We start from the raw sequence: 18,138 nt of genomic DNA, 5'->3' as shown, positions 1-18,138 counted from the left end.
GTTAATTGATTTCTACTTTAATTCTATTATGGTCAGAGAAGAGTAGCATTGTTTTGCATTTTTGCAAATCTCTTTAATGTCCAGCTTGATGGAAAACAACTGGATCTTAATGTCTGCTTTTTTTTCTGCTTTTTTTTTTTTTGAGACAGAGTCTCACTCTGTCCCCCAGGCTGGAGTGCAATGGCACGATCTTGGCTTGCTGCAACCTCTGCCTCTCAGGTTCAAGTGATTCTCCTGCCTCAGCCTCCCACGTAGCTGGGATTACAGGTGCGAGCCACTGCGCCCGGCTAGTGTTTTGTATTTTTAGTGGAGACGGGGTTTCGCCATCTTGGCCGGGCTGGTCTTGAACTCCTGACTTCAGGCAATCCTCCTGCCTCGGCCTCCCAAAGTGCTGGGATTACAGGCGTGAGCCACTGCGCCTGGCCAATGTCTGCTTTTGCATTCAATGTGCTGTGATAGTTTGTTTCGGTTAACGTATACCAAAAAAAATGTAGCCACACATATATAAGTAGTGGTAATATGGAAGTATATTTAATCTGCCACCATGAGCTTGACAGCTTCCCAAATGCTTATTGCCTTTCAGATTAGAATGATGTGGATATCTATGACTATAATTTTTCAGTATTTTATAACAAATGTTTCAACATTTGGAAAGCTGTATAACTCACTGCACCAATATTTTCCAAATTCCTGTTGCATGATGCTATAAAACTATGAATGGGTAAAAGATCCATGCAAAGTGCAATATAGACCAAGGGATTTTACTGTAATAGCATGGAAATAATTCACTGATATCGTTTCAGACACCATATTGCAACTAACCTTTAAGATACTTCCACTTGTAGAGTTTTGGTGTAATATTAAAACAAGAAGATTCCATTAATCTGATGATTATTAGCTAAATTGATTTGGGGCAAGGGCCAGTAGTCTTACTTACCATTGTTTTTGCACTATCAGTGCAAATATTAAGAGTGAAAAATTTGAATAACATCTTAGTATTATTATAAAAATAGTTTTGACCTCAGGGACCCTCTGAAGGGATCAGGGACATGCAAGGGTCTGCAGTCCCACTTTGAAAACTTCTCTACTAAGGAAAAAGAGAAAAGTCCAGTGTTTTCCTGCAGGAATTAGAAAGGTAGAGCATTGGTCCAGCCAGGAGGTTAGAGCCAAGGTGAGACCTGAAGGACAAGTACTAATTAGCTAAGAAAGGTGAGGAGAGCCAGGCGTGGTGGCTCATGCCTGTAATACCAGCATTTTGGGAGGCTGAGGTGAGCGGATCACGAGGTCAGGAGATCGAGACCATCCTGGCCAACATGGTAAAACCCCCATCTCTACTAAAAATTCAGAAAATTAGCTGGGCATGCTGGTGCACCCCTGTAATCCCAGCTACTCAGGAGGCTGAAGCAGGAGAATTGCTTGAACCCGGGAGGCAGAGGTTGCAGTGAGCTGAGATTGCGCCACTGCACTCCAGCCTGGGTGACAGAGTGAGACTCCAACTCAAAAAAGAAAAAAAAAAAAAAGAAAGAAAAAAAAACAAAGGCGAGGAGAAAGACATTCCAGACTTTAAAAAAGCAACCCAAGTGGGAGTATGTGTGGGAGACATGTAGGGTGAGAACAGGAGTTTTGGGTTGAGATAGGAGAGGAAGGCTTGAATTATAGGAAGTCTTGAATGTCACCTAAGGAGCTTACAATTTGTCCTGAGGGCAAGGGACAACCCGTGAAGGGTTTTAAGTGGCAGGGAGTGGGGGATTGGGGGAATGACTTAACAAGATTTGTGTTTGTTTAGGATGATCATGCTTACTGTGATGTAGATAGAGACTCAAAAGGATAAGACTCAGCAAAAAAACCCAGAAAGCTGTTGGAATAATCCAGTTGAGAGGTGGTTGCCAGAATCACTTGTAAAATGGTTGTGGATTTAGAAATAGATTGTTTTGAGAGATATAAAGAACATATAAGCAATGAGATTAAGAGAGTAATTAGAGCCGGGTGCAGTGGCTCATGCCTGTAATCCCAGCACTTTGGGAGGCCGAGGCAGGCAGATCACCAGAGGTCGGGAGTTCAAAACCACCTGACCAACATGGAGAAACCCCGTCTCTACTAAAAATACAAAATTAGCTGGGCATGGTGGTGAATGCCTGTAATCCCAGCTACTCTGGAGGCTGAGGCAGGAGAATCACTTGAACTCGGGAGGCAGAGGTTGTGGTGAGCCGAGATCGTGCCATTACACTCCAGCCTGGGCAACAAGAGAGAAACTCTGTCTCAAAAAAAAAAAAAAAAAAAAAAAAAAAAGAATAATTAGAAAGAAGGGTGAAAGGAAAAAAGAGGAACCCAGGATGACACTCCTAGCTTGGACTGCTGGATGATGGCATAGTGTTTGACTAGAATCTAGACATAGGAGGAGGGGCATATTGGAAGGAGAGCAATGAGGTTGAGCTAAGGTACCTGTGGGACATTCGAGTGGAAATTTTCCATAGTCAAATGGGTACATAGGACTGGAGGTGACGTACTTTCTGATTCCATTTGTATGACATTCTTGAAAACACAAGATTAAAGGAACAGAGACGAGGTCACTGGTTTCCAGGGGTTGGTGGGGAGGGATACTACAAAAGGACAGCATGAGAGAAGTTTTGGGGTGATGAAACTGTATCTTGATTGTGGAGGTGTGGGGAAAAGAAAGAGAGATCAGATTGTTACTGTGTCTGTGTAGAAAGAAGTAGACATAGGAGACTCCATTTTGTTCTGTAATCTGTAACCTTACCGCCAACCCTGTGCTCCCTGAAACACGTGCTGTGTCAACTCAGGGTTAAATGGATTAAGGGCTGTGCAGGATGTGCTTTGTTAAACAGATGCTTGAAGGCAGCATCCTCCCTAAGAATCATCACCACTCCCTAATCTCAAGTACCCAGGGACACAAACACTGCGGAAGGCCGCAGGGACCTCTGCCTAGGAAAGCCAGGTATTGTCCAAGGTTTCTCCCCATGTGATAGTCTGAAATACAGCCTCGTGGGAAGGGAAAGACCTGACCGTCCCCCAGCCCGACACCCGTAAAGGGTCTGTGCTGAGGAGGATTAGTAAAAGAGGAAGGAACGCCTCTTTGCAGTTGAGACAAGAGGAAGGCATCTGTCTCCTGCCCGTCCCTGGGCAATGGAATGTCTCGTGTAAAACCTGATTGTATATTCCATCTACTAAGATAGGGGAAAACCGCCTTAGGGCTGGAGGTGGGACATGCGGGCAGCAATACTGTTCTTTAAGGCATTGAGATGTTTTTATGTACACATATCTAAAGCACAGCACTTAATTCTTTACCTTGTCTACGATGCAGAGACCTTCGTTCAAGTGTTTATCTGCCGACCTTCTCTCCACTATTATCCTATGACGCTGCCACATCCCCCTCTCCGAGAAACACCCAAGAATGATCAATAAATACTAAGGGAACCCAGAGGCCGGTGGAGCCTCCGTATGCTGAACGCCAGTTCCCTGGGCCCCCTTTATTCTTTGTCTGTACTTTGTCTCTGTGTCTCTTTCTTTTCCAAGTCTCTCATTCCACCTAACGAGAAACACCCAGAGGTGTGGAGGGGCAACCTACCCCTTCATGGAGGTGGTTACACAAATCTATACATATCAATTTTACTGTTTTTTTTTTTTTTTTGAGACAGGATGTCTCTGTTGCCCAGGCTGGCGTGCAGTGGCACAATCTCAGCTCACTGCAACCTCCACCTCCCAGGCTCAAGTGATCCTCCCACCTTTCATGCATGTCTGTGTGAAGAGACTACTAAACAGGCTTTGTGTGAGAATAAAAGCTTTTAATCACCTGGGTGCAGGTGGGCTGAGTCCGAAAAGAGAGTCAGCCTTCTTGTCTCCAATGATTTGAGATGCAACCTTTATCATATACTAAATATCTATATGCATTTGGGTCTGCTCTGGATTCTCTATTCTGTTCCTTCATTCTGTGGTATTCATGTGCTAATACCACACTGTTTTCATTAGAGGTTTTCTGTTTTAATATCTAGTCAGGTCGGCCAGGCGCGGTGGCTCATGCCTGTAATCCCAGCACTTTGGGAGGCTGAGGCATGTGGATCACGAGGTCAGGACCTCAAGACCAGTCTGGCCAACATGGTGAAACCCCGTGTCTACTAAAAATACAAAAATTAGCTGGGCATGGTGGCACGCATCTGTAATCCCAGCTGCTCGGGATTACAAAAAACAAGAACAGCTAAGAAAGTTCTGAAAAACTCAGGAGGCTGAGGCAAGAGAATCACTTGAACCCAGGAGGCAGAGGTTGCAGTGAGCTGAGATTGTGCCACTGCACTCCAGGCTAGCGATATATATATATATATATATATATATATATATATATATATATTTATATATATGTAGTCAGGTCAGTGGTGCCTCCCTACTCTGGGAGATAGGGTGGGGGCAAAGGGAGATAGGGGTGGGGCCATTTTATAAGATTTGGGTAGGTAAAGGAAAATTACAGTCAAAGGGGTTTTGTTCTCTGGCAGGCAGGAGTGGGGGTCGCAAGGTGCTCAGTGGGGGAGCTTTTTGAGCCAGGATGAGCCAGGAAAAGGACTTTCACAAGGTAATGTCATCACTTAAGGCAAGGACCAGCCATTTTCACTTCTTTTGTGGTGGAATGCCATCAGTTAAGGCGGGGCAGGACATTTTCACTTCTTTTGTGATTCTTCAGTTATTTCAGGCCATCTGGGCTTATACGTGCAAGTCACAGAGGATGCGATGGCTTAGCTTAGGCTCAGAGGCCTGACACCACCTCAGCCTTCCGAGTAGCTGGAACTACAGGTGCACACCACCATGCCTAGCTGATTTTTTGTAGAGATGGGGTTTCACCATGTTGCCTAGGCTGGTCTTGAACTCCTGGACTCAAGTAATTCTCCTGCCTCAGCCTCCCAAAGTTCTGGGATTACAGGCGTGAGCCACCACACCCGGCCTATTTTGCTTTTTTTTTTTTTTTTTTTTTTAAAGATAAACGTGAATAGTGTCTGCTTTTCTATTATTCACAAAGGTAAACATGAACATATATAGATGGAAGGGCAATGGTTTTGGATAGGAGACTCACATAATAAAAATATCTCTCAAAAAGTTAGTTTAAAAATGTAATGCAATCCCTCCAAAAATATCATCAGGTTTTTATCTAGAATTAGAGAAGTTATTGTAAAACTTATTTGGGAGAATGAGAAAAACAAGAACAGCTAAGAAAATTCTGAAAAAGACCAGAGTAGGGAGGCACCACTGACCTGACTACACATATATATATATATATCGCTAGCCTAGAGTGCAGTGGCACAATCTCAGCTCACTGCAACCTCTGCCTCCTGGGTTCAAGTGATTCTCTTGCCTCAGCCTCCTGAGTTTTTCAGAACTTTCTTAGCTGTTCTTGTTTTTTGTAATCCCGAGCAGCTGGGATTACAGATGCGTGCCACCATGCCCAGCTAATTTTTGTATTTTTAGTAGACACGGGGTTTCACCATGTTGGCCAGACTGGTCTTGAGGTCCTGACCTCGTGATCCACATGCCTCAGCCTCCCAAAGTGCTGGGATTACAGGCATGAGCCACCGCGCCTGGCCGACCTGACTAGATATTAAAACAGAAAACCTCTAATGAAAACAGTGTGGTATTAGCACATGAATACCACAGAATGAAGGAACAGAATAGAGAATCCAGAGCAGACCCAAATGCATATAGATATTTAGTATATGATAAAGGTTGCATCTCAAATCATTGGAGACAAGAAGGACTTTTTAATCAGTGATACTGGAGTAAGCTGACAACTCTATGGAAGAATATAAAATTAAACCCATTCCTCAAACCACACAGCAGGACAAATGTGAAAAGGTCAGAGATCTAAATTTTAAAATGTGAAACCCTGTAACTACTAAATGTGAATGAATTTATTCATTTAGGTTTTAAGTTGAGACAGGGTCTGGCTCTACTGTCCAGGCTGGAGTGCAGTGGCATGATCTCGGCTCATTGCAACCTCTGCCCCTTTGGTTCAAGCAATTCTCCTACCTCAGCCTCCTGAATAGCTGGGACTACAGGCACACACCTGCACAACTGGCTAATTTTTGTAATTCTTTGGTAGAGATAGAACTTCCCAATTTTACCCAGGCTGGTCTCGAACTCCTGGGCTCAAGCAATCCTCCTGCCTTGACCTCCCAAAGTGCTGGGATTACAAGCATGAGCCACTGTGCCCGGCCAATGAATTTCTTTATAACCTGGCAGTGGTCAATTTTTTTTGCTACCTGATTCAAATTACAGAAGCAATAAAAGAAAGGACTGATACATTTGACTACATAATAATTACAATTTTATGCATGACAAAAACACAACAAGGTAAGAAAACAAAAGAACAGAATTCATAGAAAATGCAAACCCTTAAATGAACAAATGATTTATCTCATGATACTACAAATGCAACATAAAACTGTATCGAGATACCATTTCTCACCTATCAGATTGATAACATACTCTTGCCAAGGTTGTGGGAAAATTGGCACTCTCACATTGCTAGTGGGAATGAAAAATAGTACGTGCCTGCCTGGCGTGGTGGCTCATGGGCCAGGCACAGTGGCTCATGCCTGTAATCCCAGCGCTTTGGGAGGCTGAGGTGGGCGGATCACCTGAGGTCAGGAGTTCAAAACCATCCTGACCAACATGGAGAAACTCCATTTCTACTAAAAATGCAAAATTAGCCGGGCGTGATGGCACATGCCTGTAATCTCAGCTACTCGGGAGGCTGAGGCAGGAGAATTGCTTGAACCCAGGAGGCAGAGGTTGCGGTGAGCCAAGATCGTGCCATTGTATTCCAGCCTGGACAACAAGAGTGAAACTCCGTCTCAAAAAAAAAAAAGTCAAGTAAAAAAAGTAAAATAAAGAACAGTGTGAGCTGGGCGCAGTGGCTCACTTCTGTGATCTCAATAGTTCGGGAGGCTGAGGTGGGAGGATCACCTGAGGTCGGGAGTTCAAGACCAGCCTGGCCAACATGGTGAAACCCGTCTCTACTAAAAAATACAAAAATTAGCCGGGCATGGTGGCACACACCTGTAATCCCAGATACTTGAGTGGCTGAAGCAGGAGAATCGCTTGAACTTGGGAGGTGGAGGTTAGTGAGGTGAGATCGTGACACTGCGCTCCAGCCTGGGCGGCCGAGTGAGACTTGGTCTCATAAAAACAAAACAAAACAAAACAAAAAGAAGAAAACACAATGTGTATGATATGCTATAATATGCTACCTTTTGCAAAAGAAGGAAAGGGAAATGCACAGACACGCACACTTGTATATGTATGTCTTTCCCTATATTTTCAAAGAGAAATGATGGAAAGTTGAATGAAAATCCCATAAAAATGGTTACTCACAGGAGAAGGGAGGAAATGTGGAGAGGACAGGGATGGCAGCTAAAGCTCTGTGAAGATAACTTATTGTCAAGTTTTGGCTCTGGAACTGTGCAAATGTTTTACAAAATTAAAAATATTAAAGGCAGTTCCTCCCCTAGTGCTCAAATTATAGTGTCTAAATTCAATTTGGGGCCAGGCACGTGGCTCACACTTATAATCCCAGCACTTTGAGAGTCCAAGTCAGGAGGATCACTTGAATCCAGGAGTTTGAGAGCAGCCTGGGTAACATAGGGAGACCTTGTCTCTACAAACAATTTAAAAATTAGCTGGGTGTAGTGATGCACGTCTGTAGTCTCAGCTACTTGGGAGGCTGAGGCAGGAGGATCACTTGAGCCCAGGAGGTCAAGGCTGCAGTGAGCCATGATCATGCCACTGTACTCCAGCCTCAGCAACAGAGCAGGACTTTGTCTCAAAATAAATAAATAAATACAATTTGGTAATCATAGGAATTGTGGCTCTTTTAGAAATGGATGATTGTGGTTCTGGGTAGGAAATGTACCATAAACCAAGACAGCTCCCACTGGTCTAAGGTTTGACCACTTCAAATGTTAAAAATCCATGCATTCATAAGGATATTACATACACACACACACACACACACACACACACACACACGCACACACACGTTTTGGTTACCTTTAGAGAGAATGTACTAAAACTGAAAATTGAAGCATTTAAGTTGCTTTTTCTGTATTAACTACAATTTAGGGTAACCAGAGAATTAATGAGGGGATGCTTCTTTGTATAATAGCATTGTAGTTAATAAATGAAGAGAAAATAATACATTAAAAATCCCCATTTTGCAAAGCCCTGGTGAAATAATGGAACTAGACAGGTTTCCAGATTTAGCCAATAAATGGCATGGGACATATTTATACTAAAAATTAATTGTCACCTGAAATTCAAATTGAACTGGAGGTCTTGTATCTTAGTTAGCAACTCTACATCAAGGTAATGATCAACAATGGATATTAATATCATTGAGACAGATGCAGAAAAATCATTTGATAAAGTTAAACATCTATTTATGATTAAACAATTAAAAGTAGAAGGAAACTTCTTTAATACAATAATGTATACTTTCAAAAATGCTACGGTAAGCATCATACTTAATAGCAAAATATTGAAAACAGGCTGGGTGTAGTGGCTGATGCGTGTAATCCCAGCACTTTGGGAGGCTGAGGGAGGTGGATCACTGGAGCCCAGGAGTTCGAGACCAGCCTGAGCAAAAACCCCATCTTTACAGAAAAATACAAAAATCAGCTGGGCGTGGTGGCATGTGCCTGTAGTCCCTACTACTTGGGAGGCTAAGATGGAAGGATCGCTTGAGCCCAGGAGGCAAAGGTTGCAGTGAGCTTAGATTGTGCCGCTGAACTCCAGCCTGCGTGACAGAGCGAGACTCCCTCTCAAACAACAACAAAAACCAATGGAAAGTATTTTCTTTGTGATCAGAAGCAAGACTAGGATGCCCCCATCATATCTTTTATTCAATTATCTATTGGAAAGCCTAAAGAAAAGTTATAAAGATGAGAATGGAAGGAATTAAACTAATTCATAAGCAATATGATTGTATGTGTAGAGAACCCAAAAGAACCTACAAATACATTATTCAAATAATAAATCATTTTATTTATTGACTCCTGGTTTTGTGACAGGCAAGCTGGCTGACTTCCTGTTTTGATGTGGTCCAGAGAAAAAGAAGAAAAGCCCCTTACTCAAGATGTAGCTTACCTAATCTCCAGCCAATCAGCATCAAAGGCCCAAGAAGCTAGTAACCACAAGTTCCTGCTTTAGGGGCCTAGGGACTTCCCCAGGGACCTGCAAGTACAGCTAGGCTTGTTTCAACTTTTCCTTATTTTAATGCTAAAAATCATGCCCAGAGGTGATTTAAAATGCTAATGTTATATACAATGTATGAAAAAGCGTGTTGAACCACTGTGCAGGCACCAAAGAAATCCCTCCTAAACATTCAATGACAGGCACGTCACAGCAGCTAGGCCCCTATAAGACAGATCAACCTGCTCCCTTTGGGGTGCAGCCCACCCTTTTCCTTTTGCAGTGCTGACCTTTCTTGTGCACAAGCTAAAATAAACATTCTCTTTTTCTTTCTTTTTTTTTTTTTTTTTGAGATGGAGTCTTGTTTTGTCGCCCAGGCTGGAGTGCAATGGCACAATCTCAGCTCACTGCAACTTCTGCCTTCCAGGTTCAAGCAATTCTCCTGCCTCAGCCTCCCAAGTAGCTGGGATTACAGGTGTGCACCACCACACCCAGCTGTTTTTTTTCGTATTTTTAGTAGAAATGGGTTTTCACCATGTTGCCCAGGCTGGTCTTGAACTCCTGGGCTCAAGCAATCCACCTGCCTCAGCCTCCCAAAGTGCTGGGATTACAGGGGTGAGCCACCACACCCAGCAATCTCACTTGATTTCTATCCTGGAAGACTACAAGAACCAAGGATGATTGTAACATCTCCTGGTACCCCAGATGGGACCCTCATTTTAGGTCCCCACAGGAGTTAGCAAGACTTCCTGGAGGACAGAGGCAACTGACCAGGTGGTAACAAAGGTGGCCACTCTGGACCATTGCTTTGGTGTTGGTGCTTTGGAGAGTCAAGTCTGGACCCTAGGTGAGTCTGCTCTTCTTCTTCTCTCTCTCTCTCTCTCTCTCTCTCTCTCTCTCACCAGATGCCCAGTAAATGGCATGGCCAGGATTATATCTGGCCATCTCCTCTGCGTATTTCTTACCCTTTCCAAGATTTGAAACTTTCACCAGGAGTACAATGAGTGAGGACTACTAGAACATCTTGTCAAGTCAAAGGAAATGTTAGACTAAACTTAATACATTAATCACTAAACCTATCTGGATTGTTCAAGAACCGGCCAAACCAATCCTTGCCTTGACTTATGTCTGACATTGATAAGGGCCTCTTTCTTTCTTTTGTCTCTCCTTCTCTCCCTTATTTTTGGAAATTTGGGTGGGAAGTTGGGGTGATTCCAGTTAGCCCTTCTGGGAAACTTGCGTAGGCAGTTGGAGTGATTCTGGCTGGCCCTTCTGAGATTGGTCTAGGGAACTGCCCCAGACATGTGTGGGCTAGGTACCAGCCGGCAATCTGGAATTCTCTTTTGTTTCAAATACTGAAACCACTCAGTATTTTCCCTGACCGTATTCTTCTTTGTGGAGCCTGGACGTTTATAATCTGTTTTGTCAGTTGTCTGAATGGAAATGCGTTCTTGTTTCTGGTCCTTGTTGCATGGGTGAAGCCACCCTCCAGGATTCTTGGAAGGAAGCCTTACTCATTAGGCCAGATGAAATTTTTCCTCTGTCTAGTACATCATCTCGTTTCTTGTTAGAGTCCATGTAAATAAATGTGGGTGTAGAGTAAGTTCTACTTGGAGCTGATGTAAAATCTACTACTTGCTAGACTTTGTGGGTTGAAGCTGGCAAATCCAAGAGCTAAAGGCTCTCAAGCCCCCTCGTTCTGCTCTCCTCCCTCTGTCCTCTTTGGCTTGCTTAGTTCTTGCCAGGGATTTGAAGGTCTGGGATGAGTCAGACCAGGATGTGTGCTGCAATTGTGAAGACTGTCAGAGTCAGAGGCTGCATCCCTCACCAGACCTCTTGATTACAGGACACCAGCTCTACCATGGGAAACACTACAGACGTCCCAAAAGATTCCCCCCCTTGGATGCATCCTCTGTAATTGGGATCAGTTTAAATGAGATATTACAAAGAAAAAGAAGCTCGTGTTTCTCTGTGATGTTGCTTGGCCTCAGTATCCCCTGGGGTACCAAGAGAAATGACCTGAGAATGGGGTCCTTCAGTTACAACATCATTTTCCAATTGGATATATACTGTAAAAAATTCTAATAAATAGCTTGAGATTCCATACATGCAGGCCTTCAGGAAATTATATCTGGATCTCAAACTCTAGGACTCCTGCCAGGTTTATATGGTACCTCTCAAGCAACAGCTGAGAGATGAGCCAAGTCCTGTCTCAGATTTTAACCCCTAGGGCTCAATTCTCTCACTACCTTTCTAAGGGCAGGGTGGGAAGCAGGCCTCTCTGCTACTGTGGATCCTTTCTCCTTCTGTCTGGAGCCTCCTCCATACCATGCTGGGTCAGGAAGGCTTTCCCCTTCTACTCCTCAACAACCCTCAGTGCTGTCCCCAGTGTGGCTCCAACTGGGCTCCAAGTCAGCACCCTCCTTCACTTCCCCACCATACCAGGGCTGCTTTCCCCCTGGGAGGTAACGGATGGAACTAGAGGGGCAACTCAGGTACATGGACCCTTACCAATGTCAGACATAAATCAAGGCAAGGATTGGTTTGGCCGGTTCTTGAACAATCCAGATAGGTTTAGTGATGAATTTATTAAGTTTAGTCTAACCTTTCCTTTGACTTGACAAGATGTTCTTGTAGTCCTAACTCGTTGTTGTACTCCTGGTGAAAAAACTCGAATCTTGGAAAGGGTAAGAAATATGCAGAGGAGATGGCCAGATATAATCCTGGCCATGTCATTTACTGGGTATCTGGTGAGGCAGTCCCAGAGCAGAACCCGCAATGGGTTTATACGGATGACAGGGACTGGTTAAGGATCAATCACTTCCTTAATTGCATATCAGAGGGTGTCAGACAAAACCAGTAAAGTATAATAAAGTAAAATAATTGCTCAGGAAGTGGATGAAAATCCAGCTGGGTACCTTAATAGGCTCTCTGAGGCTTTTAGAAAGTATAGTAACATAGACCCAAGGACCAATGAAGGCCTAACACTTCTGGCCATGCATTTTATAACCCACGCTGTGCCAGACATTTGGGAAAACCTTCAAAAGCTGAAAGCTGACCCTTAGACCCTTCAAGCAACGTTGGTAGCAGAGGTCTTCAACATTTTTAACAACTGGGACCAGGCAGAGAAGGTGTAGAAAAATGAGAGAATAAAAAGGAAGACACACATTTTGGCTGCTATAATCATAGGCCCACCTTGAGGTGACCTTAGGTAACAGAGAAACCTGAATGCGGGGGGGTGGGGATTAAACCCCACCCAATGTCCATGGAAATGGGGTGCAACCAGTGTGCTTACTGTAAGAAGAGGCACTGGAGAAAGGACTGTCCATTCTTTTCTGGGAAGCCAGGATGGAGTAGACCTCCCCAGCCCACTCCTCTTGTTGCTGGCCTCTCAAATAAAAAGGCTACCCCCTCTGAATGAGGTGTTCTCAAATGCTTATCTGCCTCCAGTCCTGAAGAGTTCCATCACCATCACCACTGTGGAGCCTTGGGTCACCCTCAATATGGCAGGTAGGAAACTGAATTCCTTATGGATACCAGAGCCCCCTACTCTGTCCTGACCCATCCTGATGGATCTCTGTTCAGCGCCAGTTGTACAGTGACGGGAACAGATGGACAACCCAAGGTAAGACAGTTTACCTTTCCTTTGACTTGTAAAATTGGATCTAAGGCTATCACTCATTCCTTCCTATATGTCCCTGAGTGTCCCCTTCCTTTAATGGTTCATGACTTATTATCTAAGTTGGGAGCCTCAGTTTCCCTCCAGGGGAATGCCATACAAGTCTCAGTGCCTCCTGAGAAAGGAATCCATTTACTGGCCCTTTTGGTTCCCCAAGATCAGAAGCTACCCCCAGTCCTAGAAAAGATATTGATTTGAGTGGAAAAGTCTGTATGGGATACCAACATTTCAGGACAGGTCATCAATGAGGAGAATATTAAAATAAAGCTTAAGCCAGGCCTACCCTACCCACGCAAGCCAAAATACCATTTGAGGCCAGAAGCCCTACAAGGGATATGGCCCCTCCTGGAAACATTGATACAGAACAGACTAATTCAGCCCTGCAGTCCCCTTGTAATACTCCAGTCCTGCCTGTGAAGAAACCAAATGTAGAATACCAGTTTCTTCCACACTTTAGAGTAGTGAATGACTCAGTTGTTCCCACACATCCTTCAGTCCCTAATTCATACACACTCCACTCTCAAATCCCTGGGTGCACACAGTTTTACACTGTACTGGATCTAAAGGATGTTTTCTTTAATATATGCTGCATCCTGACTCCACCTACATTTTTGCCTTTGAATGGAAGGATCCAGAGACTCAGGAAGCTCCCCACTGTACTTGGACAGTGCTACCCCCGGGGTTTCCAGATAGCCTCCACCTCTCTGGGCAAAGCCCTGGAAGTCCTAATTCAGAAGCTAGGGCCTGTCCAAAGGCCAGTGACTTATTTTTTAAATCAACTGGACCCAGTAGCCCAGGTGTGGCCTGGCTGTCTTAGGGCAGTGGCAGCCACCAGCCTCCTGGTCAGGGATATCTCCAAACTCATGCTAGGCCAATCCCTTGAAGTTTATACTCCTTACCAGGTCCAGAATGTGTTGGAAATCAAAGGGAGCCACTGGCTAACTCGGGGAAGGTTAACTCAAAATCAAGCCCCACTGTTAGACACCCCAGACTTGACCTTAAAGATATATGAGTCCTTGAATGCTGCCACCCTCCTTCCCTTGCCCACCTTGGGGACACTGGAACACACCTATGTGGAAACTTTGGAGCAGATCTATTCTAGTTGGATAGATTTACGGGAGACCCCTTGAGAGAATCCAGATGAAGAATGGTTTACAGATGGGGGTTGTTTTGTAGAAAATAGAGCCTGCAGGCCAGGCATGGTGGCACGCCACCACACCCAGCTAATTTTTTGTATTTTAGCAGAGACAGGTTTCACCATGTTGCCCAGGCTGGTCTCGAAGTCCTGGGCTCGTGATGCGCCTGTCATCCCAGCTACTCAGGAGGCTGAGACAGGAGAATCGCTTGAACCTGGGAGGCGGAGGTTGCAGTGAGCCAAGATCACGCCATTGCACTCCAGCCTGGGTGACAGAGCGAGACTCCATCTAAAAAAACAAACAAACAAACAAATAAAATGGAGCCCGGAAGGCAAAACATGCTATTGTCAGCCTACGCTGGACCAGAGAGGCAAAATAACTTCCCCTAAGCACTTCAGCTCAGGAAGCAGAGCTCCAAGCCTTAGTTAAGGGCTCTTCAGCTTGAAGAAGGGAAGAGACTTAATATATATACTGATTCTAAGTATGGATTCCTAATGCTCCATACTCATGCAGCTGTCTGGAAAGAGGAGAATGCTAACTGCCAGGAGCACCCCGACAAAACCCAATGAAGCGATTTTATTCCTCCTTGAGGCAGTTCATCTCTATGTTAGTCTGTTCTTACACTGCTATAAACACATACCTGAGACTGGGTAATTTATAAACAAAGAAAGTTTAATTGACTCACAGTTCTGCATGGCTGGGAGGCTTCAGGAAACTTACAATCATGGCGGAAGGTGAAGGGGAAGCAAGGCACATCTTGCATGGCAGCAGGAGAGTGAGTGAAGGAAGCCACACACTTTTAAGCTATCAGATCTCATGAGAACTCACGTACTATTGTGAAAACAGCATTGGGGAAACTGCCCCCGTGATCCAGTCACCTCCCACCAAGTACTTCCCTTGACATGAGGGGATTACAATTCGAGATGAGATTTGGGTGGGGACACAGAGCCAAACCATATTAAGCTCCCTGCCCAAATAGCTGTTATGTCCTATAAAGGGCATCAAAAAGACAATTCTTTAATCAGCCAAGGAAACAACCAGGCTGATAGAGCTGCCAAACGGGCAGCTGGGCCGGGCGCGTTAGCTCATTCCTGTAATCCCAGCACTTTGGGAGGCCGAGGCAGGCGGATCACGAGGTCAAGAGATCAAGACCATCCTGGCTAACATGGTGAAACCCCGTCTCTACTGAAAACACAAAAAATTAGCTGGGCATGGTGGCAGGCGCCTGTAGTCCCAGCTACTTGGGAGGCTGAGGCAGGAGAATGGCGTGAACCCGGGAGGTGGAGCTTAGAGTGAGCTGAAACCGCACCACAGCACTCCAGCCTAGGGGACAGAGCGAGACTCCATCTCAAAAAAAAAAAAAAAAAAAAAGAAGTTGGCAGTGGTTGGCCAGGAGTGATGGCTCATGCCTGTAATCCCAGCACCTTGGGAGGCCAAGGTGGGAGGATCACCTAAGGTCAGGAGTTCGAGACCAGCCTGGCCAACATGGTGAAACCCTGTCTCTACTAAAATACACAAAAATTAGCTGGGCGTGGTGGTGCATGCCTGTAGTCCCAGCTACTTGGGAGGCTGAGGCAGGAGAATCGCTTGAACCCAGGAGGGAGAGATTGCCATGAGCTGAGATGGCACCATTGCACTCCAGCCTGGGCAACAGAGCGAGACTCCATCAAAAAAAAAAAAACTGAGCAGATGAAGGAGGGTATAATTTAAATGGTCAGGGTGGCTAGAAGATCAGCAACAATGCCTTTTCCTACCAGAAGCTGACCAATGGAAAGTCATCAAAAGACTTCATGAGGAAACTCATTATGAGAGAGACTCACTATGGAATTTAATCCAAAATCTCCTAGTGAGCAAGGCTTTAAAAGCTACAGCCTAACAGGCATGGTGGTTCACACCAGTAATCCCAGCATTTGAGGAGGCTGAGGCAGGAGGATTGCTTGAGCCCAGGAGATCAGGACCAGCCTGGGCAACACGATAAGACTGTGTCTCTACAAAAGCATTTTTAAAAATTATCTGGGCATGGTGGAATGCATCTGTGGTACTAACTACTTGGGAAGCTGAGGTGGGAGGATTGCTCGAGCCCAGGAGTTTGAGGCAGCAGTGAGTCAAGATTGCACAATTGCACTCCAGCCTGGGTGACAAAGCGAGACCTTGTCAAAAAAAAAAAAAAGAAAGAAAGAAAAAGCCACAGTGGGCCAGGTGCAGTGGCTCACACCTGTAAGCCCAGCAGTTTGGGAGGCTGAGGTGGGTGGATTACCTGAGGTCAGGAGTTCGAGACCAGCCTGGCCAACTTAGTGAAATCCCGTCTCTACTAAAAATATAAAAATTAGCTGGGTGTGGTGGCGCATGCCTGTAATCCCAGCTACTCAGGAGGCTGAAGCAGGAGCATTGCTTGAACCTGAGAGGCAGAGGCCGCGGTGAGCAAAGATCATGCCACTGCACTCCAGCCTGGGTGACAGAGTGAGACTCAGTCTCAAAAAATAAAAATAAAAAAGCCACAGTGGACTCTGTAACTCAAGCATGTGAAATTTGTCTTAGAAATAATTCCTGAGCCCATCCACTGGCTCTGCCCCAGTGCAGCATAAGAAGACCTATCCTGGAGAAGATTGGCGAATTACACAGATACCCCTAAAGGGGAATTCAAATATATTCTGATTTTTATAGACACTTTCGCAGGCTGGGTGGAAGCTTTCCCCACACAAACAGAAAAAGCAATTGAAGTTTGTAAATGACTGCTTAAAGGCCGGGTGCAGTGGCTCACGCCTGTAATCCCAGCAGTTTGGGAGGCTGAGGTGGGCGGATCACCTGAGGCCAGGAGTTTGAGACCAGCCTGACCAACATAGTGAAACCCCATCTACTAAAAATACAAAAATTAAGGCCAGGTGCGGTGGCTCACACCTGTAATCCCTGCACTTTGGGAGGCTGAGACGGGCAGATCACAATCAGGAGATCGAGACCATCCTGGTTAACACGGTGAAACCCCATCTCTACTAAAAATACAAAAAATTAGCCGGGCATGGTGGCAGGCGCCTGTAGTCCCAACTACTCGGGAGGCTGAGGCAGGAGAATGGCGTGAACCCGGGAGGCGGAGCTTGCAGGGAGCCGAGATCGCACCACTGCACTCCAGCCTGGGTGACAGAACGAGACTCCGTCTCAAAAAAAAAAAATACAAAAATTAGCTGGGCATGGTGGCACAGGGCACCTGTAATCCCAGCTACTAAGAAGGCTGAGGCAGGAGAATTACCTAAACCCTGGAGGTGGAGGTTGCAGTGAACTGAGATCGTGCCACTGCATTCCAACCTGGGCAACAAGAACGAGACTCTGTCAAAAAAAAAATTAAAAACCAAACCAAACCAGACAAACAAAAAGTAAATGGCTGCTTAAACAAGGAATTCCTAGGTTTGGGCTTCCAGCCTCCCTACAAAGTGACAACAGGCTGTCTTTTATCACCTAGGTCACCAAAGGGCTGTCTAGCAGTCTTAGCATCCAATACAAACTTCACTCTGCCTGGCATCCTCAATCTTCTGGGAAAGTTGAGAGAATGAATCAAACCCTTAAAAAGAACCTTGGCTACACTATGCCAAGAAGCCCAGAAATCATGGATTAAGTGCCTCCCTATTGCCTTACTAAGAATAAGATCCACCCCAAAGGGGAACTTAAAGCTCAGCCCTTTTAAAATGACCTATTGGAGCAGTCCTTTCTCAAGACAAACTTTCTAATAGATGAAGACTTAAATCAGGCTTTAAAATACATTATCAACTTGGGGAAAATTTAGCAGACAATATAATAATAAAATATTACCCCAGCTGGGTAAGATAGTTTGGGATCATTTCCCTATTAGGTGCACAGGTCATACTCAAGACATGGTGAGGGCCTGGCATGAATCATGCTCCCACTGTACCCTCTTCCTTTTTTTTTTTTTTAAACGGAGTCTCACTCTGTTGTCCAGGTTGGAGGGCAGTGGCACGATCTCGGCTCACTGCAACCTCCACCTCCTGGGTTCAAGGGATTCTCCTGCCTCAGCCTCCTAAGTAGCTGGGACTACAGGTGCATGCTACCATGCCTGGCTAATTTTTTGTATTTTAGAGATGGGGGTTTCACCGTGTTAGCCAGGATGGTCTTGATCTCCTGACC

At 45.1% G+C, this 18,138-nt stretch overlaps 1 long non-coding RNA gene across 1 annotated transcript, besides 2 other annotated features; it reads left to right on the top strand.

Annotated features, from left to right (window-relative positions):
• Positions 2,483-3,292: an enhancer, noted in NCBI's record as "NANOG-H3K27ac hESC enhancer chr19:40465439-40466248 (GRCh37/hg19 assembly coordinates)". NCBI's record gives its function as "activates a minimal SCP1, AML or CMV promoter by ChIP-STARR-seq in naive H9 embryonic stem cells {active_cell/tissue: H9 hESC(naive)}" and the evidence as "EXISTENCE:reporter gene assay evidence [ECO:0000049][PMID:30033119]".
• Positions 2,802-3,504, top strand: LOC124904722 (uncharacterized). The gene is made up of 2 exons (XR_007067261.1): positions 2,802-2,956; positions 3,323-3,504. It is a non-coding gene; the product is annotated as an uncharacterized LOC124904722 (long non-coding RNA).
• Positions 15,908-16,202: a silencer, noted in NCBI's record as "tiled region #5808; K562 Repressive DNase matched - State 21:Repr". NCBI's record gives its function as "represses a minimal TATA promoter and a strong SV40 promoter by Sharpr-MPRA in K562 cells {active_cell/tissue: K562}" and the evidence as "EXISTENCE:reporter gene assay evidence [ECO:0000049][PMID:27701403]".

Source organism: Homo sapiens, chromosome 19, assembly GCF_000001405.40.
Source record: "Homo sapiens chromosome 19, GRCh38.p14 Primary Assembly".
NCBI lineage: Eukaryota > Metazoa > Chordata > Mammalia > Primates > Hominidae > Homo > Homo sapiens.
This window is presented reverse-complemented; position numbering and strand designations above follow the sequence as displayed.